The sequence below is a fragment of the Homo sapiens genome, chromosome 14 (assembly GCF_000001405.40).
Source record: "Homo sapiens chromosome 14, GRCh38.p14 Primary Assembly".
In the NCBI taxonomy this organism is placed as follows: domain Eukaryota; kingdom Metazoa; phylum Chordata; class Mammalia; order Primates; family Hominidae; genus Homo; species Homo sapiens.
Genome location: NC_000014.9, coordinates 70,745,574 through 70,763,234, shown reverse-complemented (window position 1 = coordinate 70,763,234; position 17,661 = coordinate 70,745,574). Strand labels below are relative to the sequence as shown.

The following is a 17,661-nucleotide window of genomic DNA, read 5'->3' as shown; positions in this document are numbered from 1 at the left end:
GGAGAGGTGAGGTTTACACAATGCACTCTTATGGACTTCACCAAAATTTGATAAAACATTCTTACATTTTTCAAGATGTGAAAGCATGACAGTTTGTTATTGCCACAGCTGTTTGTCAGTGGTAGAAGTTTACAGTGGGCTTACTGCAGTGGTACAAATATGTAAACTGCTGTGAATATAACCTTTCTCTTCCACTCAGGAAAGCATGTTGGGAGATAACAGCTCTCCCCTCTGTTTGTGTTTTAAAGCTTTCCTCTTTAAACAAATGGGGCTGCGACAACTGCATAGCCACATGCAAAAGAATGAAATTCGACCCCTGTTATATGCAGAAATTAAAAGTGGATCAATGACCTAAATGTAAGAGCTGAAACCATAAAACTTTTGGAAGAAAACATAGAATTAAATCTTCATGATCTTGAATGTGTTAATGATTCTTAGATATTATACCAAAAGTATGTGCAATAAATAAAAAAATAAAGTGGACTTCATCTAAATTAAAAACTTTGGTGTATCAAAAGTATCAAGTAAGGGAGAAGACAGCCAGTAGAATGGGAGAAATATTTGCAAGTCATGTATCTGATAAGGGTCTAGTATCAGAATATATGAAGAGCTCTTATAACTCAATAATAAAAAGACAAACCACTTACTTTAAAAATGGGCAAAGGATTGAGTGGACATTTCTCCAAAGAAGATACACAAATGGACAACAAACTCATGAGAAGATAGATGTTCAATATCATTAGTCATCAGGGAAATGCAAACCCAAACCACAATGAGTTACCATATCACATGCACTAGGATGGCATTAAGAATACCAATAATAAGGAAAATAACAAGTATTCGTGAGGATGTGGAGAAATTGAAACCCCCATAGTCTGCTTGTGGAAATGTAAAATGGTTCTTCTGCTGTGCAGAACAATTTGGTGGTTCCTTCAAAAGATAAACACGAATTACCATGCGATCCAGCAAATATGCTCCTAGATCTGTACCCCCCAAATGACAACAAGTATACAAATATATGTATACACATGTTCATACACACTAGTCACAGTAGCCAGAAAGTGGAAACAACCCATGTGTCTATCAGTGGACAAAAGGATAAACTGTAATATGTACATACAGTGGAATATTATTCACCCATAAAGAGGAATGAAGTACTGATATAAGCTATAATGTGGATGAACTTGAAAACATGTTCAGTGAAATAAGCAGGTGTGTCACATATTGTATGATTGTATTTACATGAAGTATTCAGACTAGGTAAATTTATAAAGACAAAGGACATTGGTGATTGCTAAGGTTTGGGAGGAGGGAGAATGGGGAATAATTGCTTAATGGGTACAGGGTTTCCTTTTGGGGTGGTGAAAATGTTTTGGAACTAGACAGGTGGTAGTTGTACAACATTGTGAATGTACACAATATCACTAAATTGTTCACTTTGAAATGGTTAATTTTATGTTATGTGGATTTCAGCCCAAAAAAAAGGTCTACAAAAAATAAAATAAGGCTTTCACAAGCTTTGGTGCTTTAATGATTAGTAGCAACGGGTGCTTGGTAGATACCGGTATTTGAGGACATGATTATTGAGAGTCACTGGCGTGCACTACCACACCTAGCTAATTTTTTGTATTTTTAGTAGAGACGGGATTTCACCATGTTGGCCAGGCAGGTGTCAAACTCCTAATCTCAGGTGATCCACCCGTCTCGGCCTCCCCAAATGCTGGGATTACATGCGTGAACCACTGTGCCCAGCCAGGAATTTATTTAATTGTGACATGTGTATTTTAGTTTCTTCATCAGTAAAACTGAGATGGCAATAGTACCTGCCTTGTAAGTTGTTGTGAGGATTAGAGATAGTGGCTATAAAATGGGTGGTACAAAAATGGATGCACTGTAGGTGTTTAAGAAATGATGGCTCTGACCATCAATCCATGGCAGCTAAATGCTGGAGCCCACAGGAGAGGCCAGGAGGATGGCAGAAGAGTTCTGTTCTGTGGTTTCCCTGTGATTAATGCAGACTCTGGTTTCTTCTGTATTCTTTTCCTTGCCTAGTATTGATCCTCCAGAAGGTGGAGAATGGAGACCTGAGCAACAAGATTCTGAAGATCACTGATTTTGGCCTGGCTCGGGAATGGCACCGAACCACCAAGATGAGTGCGGCAGGGACGTATGCTTGGATGGCACCCGAAGTCATCCGGGCCTCCATGTTTTCCAAAGGCAGTGATGTGTGGAGGTAAGGTCCAGGGGGGCAGGGACAGCATTTCCTAGGTCCATCTTGGTGGCACACACATTTCAAGACTTGGAGAATTGAGGTTACCTAGGATCCCAGGCACCTGAAGTAGGTCTAAGTGACCTCCCCCAAGAGTCATCTATGCCAATTCCCATATTGCCAGGGGACAGTTTCTAATGCTTTCATCTACCAAAAAAATCCCTGAAGTGCTATACGCAGGCCACTTTTTGCTGGTGATTGCTCCCTAGGAAAGGCCAGTAGATTCCAGGGGCAACATGTACTCCCATCTCTACGCTGTAAGATGGGAAGGACACTCGGTCCTTCTCGGAGAGCTTCGTGAGGATCAGTCTGGCTTGCTCAGCAATGCTAGGCTTTCGTGGCTGTTACTGCTGAACTTGGGGAGGGGATTAACCCAATGTCCTCACTCTAAAGCTCCTGAGCCAATGAATGTTCTTTGTGCAATCTCGTTTTTCTTGATGGCCTAAAAATTACCTTTTCCAGTTATCTAGTTCATCTTTTAGTCAAGGCTCTATCTGTTGACATTGATCCAGAAATCAGAAAAAAATGGGTCCCAAATATGTGCCCAGAACTGCAAAGCCGCAGACTAGAAATGACCAGCCATCCTCCTAGTAAATGTGAGCCCAAAAGGTTGCAAGGAAATAGATCTAAAATTTTTCCCAGCTGAGGAAGGATGAGCAACTACCTAGTATATGTTGTCATGGCTGTGGGACAGTAGCATCACCTTAGTATACAAAAGAAAGGACTGTAGTTTATCATTATATATCAGTCCATGGAGTTATTGTCCTGATGTGTTGTAAAGTGAGCTGTGTATGTGTGTGTGTGTGTGTGTGTGTGTGTGTGTGCACGTTTATTTTAAATAATAGCTTTATTGAGCTATTATTCACATACCGTAAAGCTAATCCTTTGTACACTTTAGAATGTATAAGTTGGCTGGATACAGTGGCTCATGCCTGTAATCCCAGGACTTTGGGAGGGTAAGGTGGAAAGAACTCTGGGGCTTGGGAGTTTGGGACCAGCCTGGGCAACATAGCGAGACCCCCATCTCTACAAAAAGTTTAAAAAGTATCCAGGTGTGGTGGCATGCACCTGTAGTCCCAGCTACGTGGGAGGCTGAGATGGGAGGATTACTTGAGCCTGAGAGGTTGAGGCTACAGTGAGCTGTGATTGCACCACTGCACTTCAGCCTGGGTGACAGAGAGAGACCCTGTCTCAAGAAGTAAATAAGCATGTAAGTCAGTGGTTTTTAGTATATTTAAAAGGTGTGTATGGGTCACCATTGTTATTAGTTTCCTAGGGCTGCTGTAGCAAATTACTAAACCTAGTGGCTTAAAGCAACAGAAGTGCGTGCTTTTATAGTTCCTGAGGCCAGAAGCCTGAAAGTGATGTGGGCAGGGCCACACCCTCCAGAGACTCTAGTGAAGATAATGACTCAAATAAGGATTCTGGGTATTGGGACATAGATATAGCTTTTTAGGGCCACCATTCAGCCCATTACAACCACTATCTATTTCCAGAACTTTATTTTTATTTATTTATTTTTTTGAGATGGAGTCTTACTCTGTTGCCCAGGCTGGAGTGCAGTGGCATGATCTCAGCCCACTGCCACCTCTGCCTCCCGGGTTCAAGTGATTCTCCTGCCTCAGCCTCCCAAGTAGCTGGGATTATAGGCGTGCACCACACCTGGCTAATTTTTATATTTTTAGTAGAGACGGGATTTCACCATGTTGACCAGGCTGGTCTTGAACTGATCCAAAGCAATCTGCCCACCTCGGCCTCTTAAGGGGCTGGGATCATAGGCATGAACCACACCATGCCCGGCCAATTTCCAGAACATTTTTATCATCCAAAAAAGAAGCTCCATGTCTATTATCAGTCCTTCCCTAATCCTTCCCCCTTCTACTCCCTAGCAAACACTAATTTCCTTTCTGTCTTTATGAATTTGCCTGTTCTGGATGTTTCACATAAATGGAATCATACCATTTGTGGTCTTTTGTGACTAGGCTTCTTTCATTTAGCATAATGTTTTCAAGATTCATCCATGTTGTAATACAAAATTAGCTAGGCGTGGTGGCGCATGCCTGTAATCCCAGCTACTCGGGAGACTGAGGCAGGAGAATCGCTTGAACCCAGGAGGCAGAGGTTGCAGTGAGCCAGGATTGTGCCATTGCACTCCAGCCTGGGAAACGAGTGAAACTCCGTCTCAAAAAAAAAAAAAAGATTCATCCATGTTGTAACTTATCTCAGAATTTCATTCCTTTTTAAGGCTTAATAATATTCCATTGTATGGATAGACCACATTTGTTTATCCATTTATCAGTTGATGGGCATTTGGGTTGTTTTTGCTTTTTGGCTGTTATAAATAATGCTGCTATGGACACTTGTGTACAACACAAGCTTTTGTGTAAACATATTTTTTTCAGTTTTCTTGGGTCTATCCCTAGGAGTGGAATTGCTGAATCATGTAACAGTTCTATGTTTAACTTTTTGAGGAACCACCAAACTTTTTCATCATAGCTATACCATTTTATTATATTCCCGTTAGCAATGTATGAATGTTCCAATTTCACCACATCTTTTCAATACTTGTTATTGCCTTTTTTTAAAAAAAAAGTTATTATTATGTCTATCCTTGTGGATATGAAATAGTATTTTGTTGTGATTTTGATTTGCATTTCACTAAATGACTTATGATGTTGAGTATCTTTTCATGTAATTATTGGCCAATTATATCTCTGAACCTGAAGAAATATCTATTCAAATCCTTTGCCAATTTAAAAATTAGAGTATTTGTCTTTTTATTGTTGAGCTGAAAGAGTCCTTTCTATTCTCTCATCAGATATATGATTAGCAAATTTTTTTTTCCATTCTGTAGATTGTTTTTCCACTTTCTTAAGGCTGTTCTTTGAAACAGTGTTTTTAATTTTGATGATGTCTAGTTTATTTTATCATCTGTGGATTGTGCTTTTGGTGTCATATCTAAAAAACATTGCCTAGTCCAAAGTCATGAAGACTTACACTCCTATATTTTTTTCTAAGAGTTTTATAATCTTAGCTCTTACTTTTATGTCTCTGATCCATTTTGACTTAATTTTTGTATGTGGTATGAGGTAGGGGTCCAACTTTATTATTTTTCATGTGGCTATTCAGTTATCCTGGCCCCATTTATTGAAAAGACCATTTTTTCCCATCGAATTATTTGGTCACTTTTATCAAATGTCAATTTACCAGAAATATAAAGGTTTATTTCTAGATTCTCAGTTCTACTCCATTAATCTATATCTGTCCTTATGCCAATACCACCCTTTCTTAATTAGTATGACTTTGTGGTAAGTTTTGAAATTAGGAAATGTGATTCCAATTTTGTTCTTCTCTTTGAAGATTGTTTTGGCCATTCTGAGTCCTTTGCATTTAATGAATCTTAGGGTAATTTTGTTAATTTATACAAAATAGATAGCTGGGATTTTGATAGGAATTGCATCAAATCTGTAGCTTTGTAGATTATTTACACCCTTTTTTTTTTTTTTTTTCGGACAGGGTCTCAATTGCTTGAGCTGGAGTGCAGTGGTGTAATCATGGCTTACTACAGCCTTGACCTCCTGGGCTCAGGTGATCCTCTTTCCTCAGCCTCCTAAGTGGCTGGAGCTACAGGCATGCTCCACTTTTTCTATTTTTTTTGTAGAGACAGGGTTTCACCATGTTGCCCAGGCTAGTCTTGAACTCCTGAGCTCAAGCTGTTCACCTGCCTTGGTCTCCCAAAGTGCTAGGATTAGAGATGTGAGCCACTGCGCCTGGCCCTATTGACATCTTAATAAGTCTTCCAATTCATGATCATGGGATATCTTTCCATTTATTTAGACCTCCTTTAACTTCTTTCAGTGATGTTTTGTAGCATCTGTATATTGAACCTCATTTTACCATGCATTAATTACAGGGTAAAGTAGCTAATGAGAAGAAATGAGTTTAACTTTCCTTAAAATATCTGACCTGATCTCATTAAGTTGAGTTGTATACTGATATTCAACTATTTTTGATATATAAAATCAGCAATTTCATGTTTCAGTTTAACACTTTTATTGCTTGACCATATGCTAATGAGATTAATACATCAATTAAGCTAAGCTGCTATTACAAAGAGGCATACAGATATGGAGGCTTAGATAGGATAGAAGCATATTCTCTTTCAAAAACTAGCTAAATAGCCCAGGCTAGCAGGGCAACTGTGCCCCATGAGATCGTTTAGGAACCTAGGTTCTTTTAGATTCCCTCAGTGCATTGACCTTGACCGAATGGTTAAATTGGGTGACTGTTATGTGTGTATTACAATTTTCATAAAAGAGGAAGGAGAACTTACTCATGGCAAGCGCAGTTTATCTTTAATTTGGAAACTATCCAGAAGTTGTACACATCTCTGCACACCCAATTGCCTGCACTTGGTTATGTGGGCACACCTGGCTCCAAGGGAGGCAGAAAAATGTACGTTCTAGCTGGACAACTGTGTGCCCCACTATGGAAGACAGGAAGGGTGGATTTGAGGGGACAAGCAGCCACTTGTCACACTCAACTCTCTCTTGCCTTTTTTAATGGAAAACCATGATTTCTCAGTAACATGATTGTTTTCTACCTCCAGTATTCCCACTAGGTTTCTTCTCCCAGCCTAACCCTGAAATTGCTCAGGTTTTACTGTCACACACTCCAGAGGTTTCTGCTGGTGACGATTTGGACAGAGTTGTGTCATGTATCCAAGTACCTTCGTACCTTCCCAGTGGGAAGGGAAAGCACAAATGCCGCATGTAGAGTCTTCTCAGGATGACAGAAATTGTAGACAGGGAAAGACAAGGCCATTGCAGAGCTTTTTTCTCCACCGAAAGAACAAGGGCAGGACCTTTCAACTTTTACCCTAAGTATCCTTGTTGTAAGACTAACCTCTAGGTCTTGCCCTATAACCATGATCCTAAAAGCAGGCTTGAAGGAAGAGCCTCTGGTGAGAGGCATCTGATGAAATTATTCTACTCTCTAGAGGAAATCACTTGGAGGTAAACCTCAAATCAGAAGCACTTTGGATGATGTGTCTTGGATATTGTCACATGGTCTGCCAGCAGGTCTCTAGTTGCTCTAGTCTAGACTTGTTCCCAGGACTTAAGCCTCCTGACCCAGTTTGGTTGATGATTGTGGTTTGAAAACATAATTCACCCTGCTCCCTTTCAGCTGTCTTAGCTTCTATGCTGCAGGATTTCCTTCAAAGCACAATTTATAACCCATTAAATGGGCCTTTCATTCCTTCTTCCTCAGGCTTACCCATCTAAGTAGCTCCAAATGGTCTCTCACCTTTAGCAGAGGAAAATGTGTGCCCACTGCTGTACATACAGCAATGCTTGTACACTGGTAACAGTTGTTACCACCTACAAATGCTTAAGGGCTAGGGTCTGTGGTAAATGTTATACATCTTCTATAGTCTTCACAAGAATTCCCCAAAGTAGGGATCATCATTTCCATTTTACAGATGAGGTAACTGGGCTCAGACAATTGAAGTCACATGCCTAAGTTCACCCAGGTGGCAGACATAAAGCTATGATTAGAACTAGATATGTGTGTAGTGACAATCTGTGCTTGTAGTTATGCCACCATCTGTATGGTCCTGTTCCTGCACTTAAGGCAGCCTCTTCTGAATGATCAGCCCACCGTGCGTGCCTAGGGCCCAGCAGGGTGTCTCAGGGAGGGCCAGGGCATGCCTAGGAACTTGGTACAAAGCTGTTTCCCAAACTGACTTGTAACTCACTGACTCATTCAAGAAGTGTCTGTGGAATGCTTGCCCTATGCCAGGTACTGGCTGAGTCTGAGTGCCCCACACCTCAACCCTCCTGGAACTCATCCAGAGCTGGGGGCCTCTGCGCCTCTGCTATTCCAGGTGCCCAGGGCCATCTGGTTTGTCTTCCTGCTCTTTGAGTGTGCTTCTAAAGTTCTCCTGCAAATGTTGTGATGGAGGGTGAGATGATAAAGGGCTGGATCCTCAATTGTGTAAGTTTCCCAGTCTGCTTGGATTGGGGACTGCCTCAAGAAGGCTATTGCTGAAATTGTTCCCTTTCTTTGCGCTGTGTGGGTAGAGCAGTGGTTACTGTCAGAGGGCATCGTCCCACAAGGCCTTCTTGCCTGTTGGTTGTGGGATGAGGTGGAGGCATTGTCTTAATCATTTTAAGTTTAAAAAATTACAATAGTGGCTGGGCACGGTGGCTTACACCTGTAATCTCAGCACTTTGGGAGGCTGAGGCGGGCAGATCACAAGGTCAGGAGATCGAGACCATCCTGGCTAACATGGTGAAACCCCATCTCTACTAAAAATACAAAAAATTAGCCGGGCATGGTGCTGGGTGCCTGTAGTCCCAGCTACTCCTGAGGCTGAGGCGGGAGAATGGTGTGAACCCGGGAGGTGGAGCTTGCAGTGAGCTGAGATCGCACCACTGCACTCCAGCCTGGGCGACAGAGCAAGACTCTGTCTCAAAATTACAATAGCAAAACGTTTTCTGTAGAAAAAATTTGAAAATATGGGTAAACAAGAAAGAAAAGATAGGGAAAGAAAATCACCCTGAACCCACTTATAGAGATAATGCGTATTGATATTTGGGTGTGTTTACTCCTATTCATGTGCTCATCTGCCTATCCCTAGTGGGATCTTTCTGTTTTAAAAGTTGCTTTTTGAATGTAATATAGCATGAACACATAACCACATTAATAAATATGTTGTTATGTCAATAAGTTTATCAATGTATATATTACATATATGTTAATAAATACATCATCATTTTGAATGAGGGTTCAGTTAATAAGAAGAAGAATTATATGCTACTTTCAATTTACAAAGTGCTTTCACATATATTAGTTCAATTATCTTTGTCAAAGATTATTAAACAGTCAGTGTGGTTCCTGGAATGTGGAATCATAGATAATTACCAAGTGCAAGACATTCCCCAGCCCACCTCATTCAAGGGAGACTGGTCACCTCCTTTCAGAGCATGGACCCTGACCTGACAGTCTAGAGATGGTGCAGGTTACTACAAAATAGAGCTCTGGCCCAGCACAGGCATGGAGTTGCTGTGCCTTTTGTCAAGAAAGGTAGCTGTCCACTTTTCCTCACTTTGAAAAAAAAATCAAACACCCCTCCTCCACCTCTGATCCTAGGAAATGGTTGAAGGGATTACCAAGCCTCGGGAGGTGGTTAATTATTAACTCAAGAGTAAATTTTGTGAGGGTTGGGTTAGGCAGTGAGGACTTTTAGGAAATTACTGGCAGCACTGTGGGAGCTGGTGGGTCTGTGTTGCGGGGAGGTACTCAGAGGCAGTGACTTAGCTGAACGAGTTCTTCCAGGCTGCTTGCAAATGGTCATCAAAGGACTTGTTGACCTTTTAACCTTGGGAGGGCAACTAAGTTGACTAAACCTGAGGTAAATCACATCAACTTCTACTGCCCGCCTTTCCCTGAGCTCAGATCCACGTAAACTTGTATTTCTCTTGAATTTCTCCAGTCTTTTTTCCCACCAACAGAATACCAAGTCTTCATTTATATCACCCACCTTCCATTGTAAACATAAAGCGGGATGTTGGCAGAGGAAAACTAGTTTAGTCAGCCCCAGAAAGACTTCTTCTCTGAATGCCAGTGTCCCTCAGCAAAGCTCTCACCAACACTGTAGCTCTACATAAGCCTCCTCAGACACAATCTCATTTCAGGCCCTTTTGGAGAAACCACAGGTCTACTAGCCATAGATGGTAATTTCTGGATGAGGGTTAGTTGTTGGTGTTAGTGATTCCTTGTAACTCTTCTGTAAGGTCGGTATTGCTGTCTTTGCTGTAGGGATGAGGAAACTGAGGTTTGGAGAGGTGAACTTGCTTCCTAAAGGCACATAGCTGTTAAGTGATAAAACAGGCATTTGACCCAAGTCTGTCTAAATCTTTCTCTGGTAGCATTCTGCCTACTTGGGCAGTAGTTCTCACATTCCTTTTAGCTGTAGAACCCCTGAAGTGGGATAGAATGCAGACAAACAAAGAAACAAGCCAGGTAAGAGCAGAGCTGCCCTGACTGGAGCTAATGGGGCCAGTCCCAGTCCCATAACCCCCCACCCCTGCCTCACCCCCGACATGCTTCCAGGCGGTCTGAGACACCTTCACAGGACACTGAGAGCTTAGTGTGAAAACTGTCACAGAAGGGATGCAGGGACACAAACAGAACATATTTGGATCTTTGAAACACTCTATGATCTTTCCAGGTAGTTAGGGCCCAGATACCGTCTGTCTTTGTCTGGTTGGGAGAAAGGGGTTCTGTGGGACCTTTGGTTTTTATTCTCCAGGATGGAGGTGGGCATTTATTCCAAGAGCAAGCAATGGAGGATAACAGTGGCTTTGACCTAGGAATCTGGTTGGCAATGCTGAGAGTTCCTGGAGGTCACTTGGTAGAAGCTCCCCAGCATGACCACTACCTGGATAAGTCACATGAAAGGTTTGTCAGGAAGTGTAATAGTGCAATTCTTGATGATGTTTGGGTTTTCCTCTAGAGGACCCAGGGCAGCCTGCAGGACTGTCTGACCATGCGCTCACTCCCATACCCACAGACCCACTCACTCACATATCTATGAGTGCTTCCTGTGTACCAGAGCTTGGGCTAGGTCCTGAGAATGCAAAGATTAAAAACATTTCTCCCTGCTCTTTAGGAGCCTATAGGCTAGCAGACAAACAGCTACAATACATGGCAGCCCAAATGGGCTGAGTAACATCTGGGGATGTCAAGAAGGCATCGTAAAGTATCCAATGCTATTCCCATAAGCCTCCAAACTAAAATCCATCTCCTGTCTAGACGAGTCAAGACCAACTGGCTACCAGGCTTTTTGTTTTTTCCTGGCAAGATGCATAAAGAAAATGATAGTATTTGAAGGCCTCACTGGGGTAAAGCCGTCATCTGATGAATGAATAAATGGTGGGACATTTGAGTTGGATCTTGAAAGATGATTAGCATTTACCAAGCAAAGAAATGGTAGAAGGCATTCTAGGGGGAATAAATTGAGAACTGGTCTGGGCCCACCATGATGTACTCTGTGTATGCCCTTAGTAATATGCTCCTAAACATGTCTAAAACTTGCTTTCCTTGTGTGCAAAATGTTGATAATACCTATCAGAATTGTTGTAGAGATTCACAGTGATGTTTGTAAAGTGTCTTAGTGGTCTTCATATATAAGGTTTCATGATAAATAGCTACTGGGTTTATTATTATTATTGATTACTTTGAGACAGAGTCTTGCTCTGTCACCCAGGCTAGAGTGCAGTGGCGTGATCTTGGCTTACTGCAACCTTCGCCTCCTAGATTCAAGTGATCATCCTGCCTCAGCCTCCCAAGTAGCTGGGATTACAGGCATGCACCACCACACCTGGCTAATTTTTGTATTTTTAGTAGAGATGGAGTTCCACCATGTTGGCCAGGCTGGTCTTGAACTCCTGACCTCAAGTGATCTGCCTGCTTCCGCCTCCCAAAGGCTGAATTTACAGTCTGGGATTACAGATGTGAGCCACCATGCCTGGCCTATTATTATTTTTTAAATTAATATGACCTTTGTTGCTGGTTGCAAAACTTATTGTTGAATTTGGTGTTGAAAACATAAGGAGAGCCATTCTTCTAACTATTCATAGCCTTATGGTTTCTTGTCCTGACTTATTCCTGGAAGGACTGAGTGCTGTGTGATTGTGTCTGGTTCTGATCGTGAATTCACAGAATAATTCTTCCATTAAGCTTTGTACTCCACATTCACTGACTCACAGGACACGAGAAAAGAAATTCTTTATGTGGACTTGAAAGATAGGGAGGGCACACTGAAGTTCTCACAGCTGATGCGCTGCTCTGTTCTACCGATGTGGTCTACCCTTGTGAAACTTTTCCATTTGAATTAGAGATCTCCGTTAAGAACCCACTCACGCTGATCTGGGGGCAGAAATCTATTCAACCTAGTGGGCATTTAAAGAAATCTTTTATAGGAACAAAATCTGCTTTGAGTGGTTAGCACTCTGCTTTTTGTAAAGCTAAAAAGAAAATCTGTTAATCCTAGCACTTTGGGGGAAAAAATGTATCTGTGACAAAAGCTGAAGTTTTCTTAAAACAGAAAAAAAATTATACTTGGGAGGCTGCCTCTTCTCCCAGTTTATTTCATTAATAATAATGATAACAGGCCAGGTGTGGTGGCTCACGCCTATAATCTCAGCACTTTGAGAGGCCGAGGCGGGAGGATCACAGGAGGTCAGGAGTTTGAGAGACCAGCCTGGCCAGTGTGGTGAAACCCTGTCTCTACTAAAAATACAAAAATTAGCCGGGCGTGGTGGTGCATGCCTGTAATCCCAGCTACTCGGCAGGTGGAGGCAGGAGAATCTCTTGAACCCAGGAGATGGAGGTTGCAGTGAGCCGAGATCACGCCACTGCACTCCAGCCTGAGCAACCGAGCGAAACTCCATCCCAAAACAAACAAACAAACAAACAAAAAACAATAATGATAGTGAAAGAGCTATGGCCATTGGGCACTTATTTAAACACTATAGTAGCTCATTTAATTCAACAATAGCCTTGCCAGACTGATAGTGTTATTCGTGCATTACAGATGAGGAATTAGAGGCTTAAAGAGGTGTAGTGCCTTGCCCAAGGTCATATAGCTAAGGAATTATGGGAGAAAACTTGAAAACCAAGTATGCTTGACTCCAGAGATTTTGCTTTTAGCTAGTAGGCTTTATGGTTTCCCTTTTATATCACATTAGTATTTCTGTTTCATTAGTCTCACTATCTGTTGGGGAGAATGTGGGATGCTCAGAAAAGACTCGAGCTATTGCAGTGAAGTTGTACCTGAAGTTTATTACATGGCTTCTGTCTTCTTCCTCTCCTTAGCTATGGGGTGCTACTTTGGGAGTTGCTGACTGGTGAGGTGCCCTTTCGAGGCATTGATGGCTTAGCAGTCGCTTATGGAGTGGCCATGAACAAACTCGCCCTTCCTATTCCTTCTACGTGCCCAGAACCTTTTGCCAAACTCATGGAAGGTAAGTAAGCCCTGGCCTGAACCAAACTGGAGACACTTTGCCTCTTGTAAGCACTGGGTAGAGTTTGGCCAATTCTGTGAGATCAGTTACTGAAAGAGGAGATAAAGTTTCAGTCACCTAAGGAGGAATCCTCTGGGCAACTGGAAAGGCTTCTTCAAGATGACATCCACACCCTGCTGCAAGCAGTCATATCTCCAGGGACTGTAGAAGTGAAATTAGTAACAAAAGCCTGCTATCCGGCACTTCAGCATATTATCATTTAATGCAAAATCAGAAAGTACAGCAACTTTTATGTCAGGACCTCTGAATACCTTAAGAGACGTGAAGAACATCTTAGGAGAAAGAACTCTAAAAGTCATCTAGTCAAACCCCATAATTTTGTAAGTAAGGAATCTAAAGCTAAGCGAAGTTGAGTGGATAGGTGGCCACCTCATTAGAGAGTGGCTGAGCTGGGATTAGGTAGAATTCGATTTCCCTGACTCCCACTAGAATGCTTTTCATCCTCGCCTCCTCATCATCCCATTGTGGGTGGGGGAAGGCTAATTCATTTATTTATGGGAAACTGAAGCCCAGGGCATAATTCCCCATTGTCTGTTCTTGAATCAGGTAGTAACATGGTAAATTGTGTTGTGGTGGTGCTTTGTACAAGAAAACTCTTTGGGCTCGCTTTTCTTATCCTTAATTAACAGCCAGAATGGAATGAGTACAGAACTGCTGCATTTCATTTCCATTTTCACTCTTTATGGTTGTAATGGTGGACAGTTTGCTTTACTTCCTGAGCCTTATTTGAGGTTACCTAAATTCTGATCTCTGTTTCTGGAAGAAGTAAGAGGTAGTTTTCTGGGAAGTGAGGCCATGTAATAGCCTAAGTCTTACATGTTTGCTTCTGTCCATTCATGCTTTCTGAGTATTCACATGTTCTATTCAGACTGCTGGAATCCTGATCCCCACTCACGACCATCTTTCACGAATATCCTGGACCAGCTAACCACCATAGAGGAGTCTGGTTTCTTTGAAATGCCCAAGGACTCCTTCCACTGCCTGCAGGACAACTGGAAACACGAGATTCAGGAGATGTTTGACCAACTCAGGGCCAAAGAAAAGGTAAACAAAACAAAAAAAACAACAAAAAAACGAACGAAAAGAAAAAAGGCATGCATTGAATTGGTAGACCTCACTCACAGGGACCTCTGGACCGAGTCTGACTGACCATCTTGATTCTAGCATGCCCACCTTCCAGCTTGGTATCTACTTAATTGTCCAAACCAGAGAAGAATGCAGTTGGGCAAAATCCCAGTGCTTGGATTACAGGCCTTTTTTCTTTTCTCACAGTGGAATGTCTCACCCTGCCAGCTGGAAATATGAGAAGTTCTGGAAATGTTTCTTGATTCTACAATAGACTTCTAGAAGAAGGTTAATTTGATATAGGGATACTTCAACCTTGAGGATAGTTATCAGAACATCCTTCCCATGTCTTTTGACATCAGAATCAGAAATAGAATATGGGCAAAAAATAACATGGGTCTGAAATTGTGTGGCATTTTTCATGTTTTTATGAAAAGTATTTCAAGCCCAAACCAACCAGGGAGTTCAGAGACTCCTAGCCTACCAGAGATCTGCTTTTTTGTTTTGGTGGCCATTCCCTAAATGGCCCCTTTCTGTTCCCTCAGTGTGTCCCTAGCAGTCAGTGTACACACAGGTGAAGCCAGTCACATGCAACTATATTGCTTATATAGGGGCAGGACTAAATCTAAGGGATGTAGCTAGGGGCAAGAGAGAAGTCTTTATAGATTTGGTTAATTTCTTTTACCATTTTTTTTTTTTTTTTGAGACAGTCTCGCTCTGTCGCCCAGGCTGAAGTGCAGTGGCACGATCTCAGCTCACTGCAGGCTCTGCCTCTGGGTTCACGCCATTCTCCTGCCTCAGCCTCCCGAGTAGCTGGGACTACAGGCGCCCGCCACCTCGCCCGGCTAATTTCTTGTATTTTTAGTTGAGATGGGGTTTCACCGTGTTAGCCAGAATGCTCTCGATCTCCTGACCTCGTGATCCGCCCACCTCGGCCTCCCAAAGGGCTGGGATTACAGGCCTTTTTTCTTTTCTCACTCTGCACTATGGGAATTTGGGAAGTTAATAGCCATGTGATAATAATGATAGCTAAAATTGTTTATGGCTTTATGGTTTCCCACTTTTTCCACTTGAAAAATTTGATGAGACCTTTTTGTCTGTTTTATCCAGGAGTCCTATGGCTCCTGCCATCAGTATGTAGGCCAGGTGTTATTATTGTTTCCATCTCAGAGCTGAGGGTCAGCAACTTGCCTGAAGTAACAGAGTTAGTAAGTGGGGAAGCAGAATCTTGAATGTGGGTCTTCTGATTCCAAAAACCGATATTCGTTGTAATATTATATTAGTCTATTCTCATGCTGCTAATAAAGACATACCCAACACTGGTTAATTTATAAAGGAAAAAGGTTTAATCAACTCACAGTTGCACAGGGCTGGAGAGGCCTCAGGAAACTTATAATCATGGTAGCAAACAGGTCCTTCTTCACATGGTGGCAGGAAGAAGAAATAAGTGCCCAGCAAAGGGAGAAGCCCCTTGTAAAACCATCAGATCTCGTGAGAACTAACTCACTATTACGAGAACAGGATGAGGGAACCACCCCCATGATTCAATTATCTCCACTTGGTCCCTCCCATGACCCATGGGGATTATGGAAACTACAATTCAAGATGAGATTTAGGTGAAGATACAGTCAAACCATATCAAGTGTCATTTTTATTCTACACAAATGACTTACAAATAATTTCTGGAGCTGATTTGAAGAATTAAACTCTTTTTATGGAACATAGCAATTCTGAACACAGTACTGTTTGCCAAGTCAATGAGCATTCTCTAGAAGAATGGAGTGAGCTTACAATGACTCTTTAGGGTCCCTGGTGGGTGGACTTGCACTGGCTGTTGAGCAGAATGATTACAAAAGACTGTTCCTCTCACTAAATAGTATTCCAGCTAGAAGAATCCCAAGAGTTGCTGGCCTTTTGTTTTTTTGATTGCTGCATCACTGACCCTTGGTTACCTTTCTTTTAATTGATGAAATTATAAGGGTACCAGCCAGTAAGAAAAATGAAGTTTGGATTTTGTCAGTAAGTAGTTACTAGGAAGTCAAACTCATAATAGCTAACATTTGTAGAGCATGTGCTATGTGCCATGCTTTCTTATACTTTCTATGAATTATCTTATTTAATGAGATAATAATTGTCTGTGTCAATGATGTCAGTGCTATTAACTCCATATTACATGTGATGCCCTTATTAACTTGTCCAAGACCACACAGTTAATGATGGTGAAGCTGGGACCTGAACAGGCAGTTTGTTCCAGAGTCCTTTCTCTTAGCCACCATGCTATGATGCCTCCCTGTTATAAGGCTTGTTGTTTGGTAAGTGAGAGTAAGATGTGCTTTCTCTCTGGAGAGATTCTTCTTAACTCATTCTGTATGTGGAAGATGTGATTTGCAAACTGTGCAACACAAATAGGTGTTGCAAAAGTAGGAGATTCAACATGTCTAAGGGTCCTCCAGGTGAATGGTGTCATAGGCATATATTCCACAAGTTTCCTCATTTACCCTATGATTCAGCTAATTCCTCAGGTTGGATCAACCTACTGTTTCTAAGTATTATTGTGAGAATGCATTGGTGTCATCTGGGGTTTGTGTTCCATTAAAGAGAGTGACTTAGAGCCAGACCATCCCTTAGACAAGAGCATGGAGGAGACGAGGGCTTAGGAAGCTTGAAATTAGCTTTGATTTTTAAACTTTTACACTTAACAGCAAAATCAACCAACCAGGAATATTTTTTCTGCATCTTCCATGAATTTTTCTTCTCTTGGTAATGAAAACAAAGTCATAGGACAGAGAAACAAAGGATTTGGAGGGCGCACAACAATTAATTTGAGGTTTATTTCATCAAGGAAGAAGTAGTTCAAGTTCAACTCTCAGGAACTTGTGATAAATCTATGTTCCCATAAAGAAGGATTGCATTCACAATATTGCACTCTATCTCCTATTATTATTTCTCTTCATTCATTTATTGACTCAATAGTTATTCAACCACTGAGTACCTAGGCCTACCACATGCTAGACACTTTTCAATGTGCTAATTCTTTTCTCATTTCTTTTCTATCACTTTTTTTTTTTTTGAGACAGAGTCTTGCTCTGTCACCTAGGCCGGAGTGCAGTGGCATGATCTCGGCTCACTGCAACCTCCACCTCCCGGGTTCAAGCAATTCTCCTGCCTCAGCCTCCCAAGTAGCTGGGATTACAGGTGCACGTCAACATGCCCAGCTGATTCTTATGTTTTTAG

General features: G+C 41.8%; 1 protein-coding gene across 8 annotated transcripts in view; it reads left to right on the top strand.

Moving 5' to 3' along the window:
• MAP3K9 (mitogen-activated protein kinase kinase kinase 9) overlaps window positions 1-17,661 on the top strand; it is an 86,988-nt gene that overhangs the window by 46,279 nt on the left and 23,048 nt on the right. For 7 of the 8 annotated variants that reach the window (XM_005267683.6, NM_001284230.2, NM_033141.4 and 4 more), the window contains 3 exons: window positions 2,053-2,233; window positions 13,154-13,302; window positions 14,231-14,406. In XM_005267683.6, the coding sequence (XP_005267740.1) occupies window positions 2,053-2,233; window positions 13,154-13,302; window positions 14,231-14,406 (506 nt within the window). Of the gene's footprint in view, window positions 1-2,052; window positions 2,234-4,581; window positions 10,506-13,153; window positions 13,303-14,230; window positions 14,407-17,661 lie in introns of those variants that run through there. The other variant, XM_011536794.3, reaches the window with a different exon arrangement.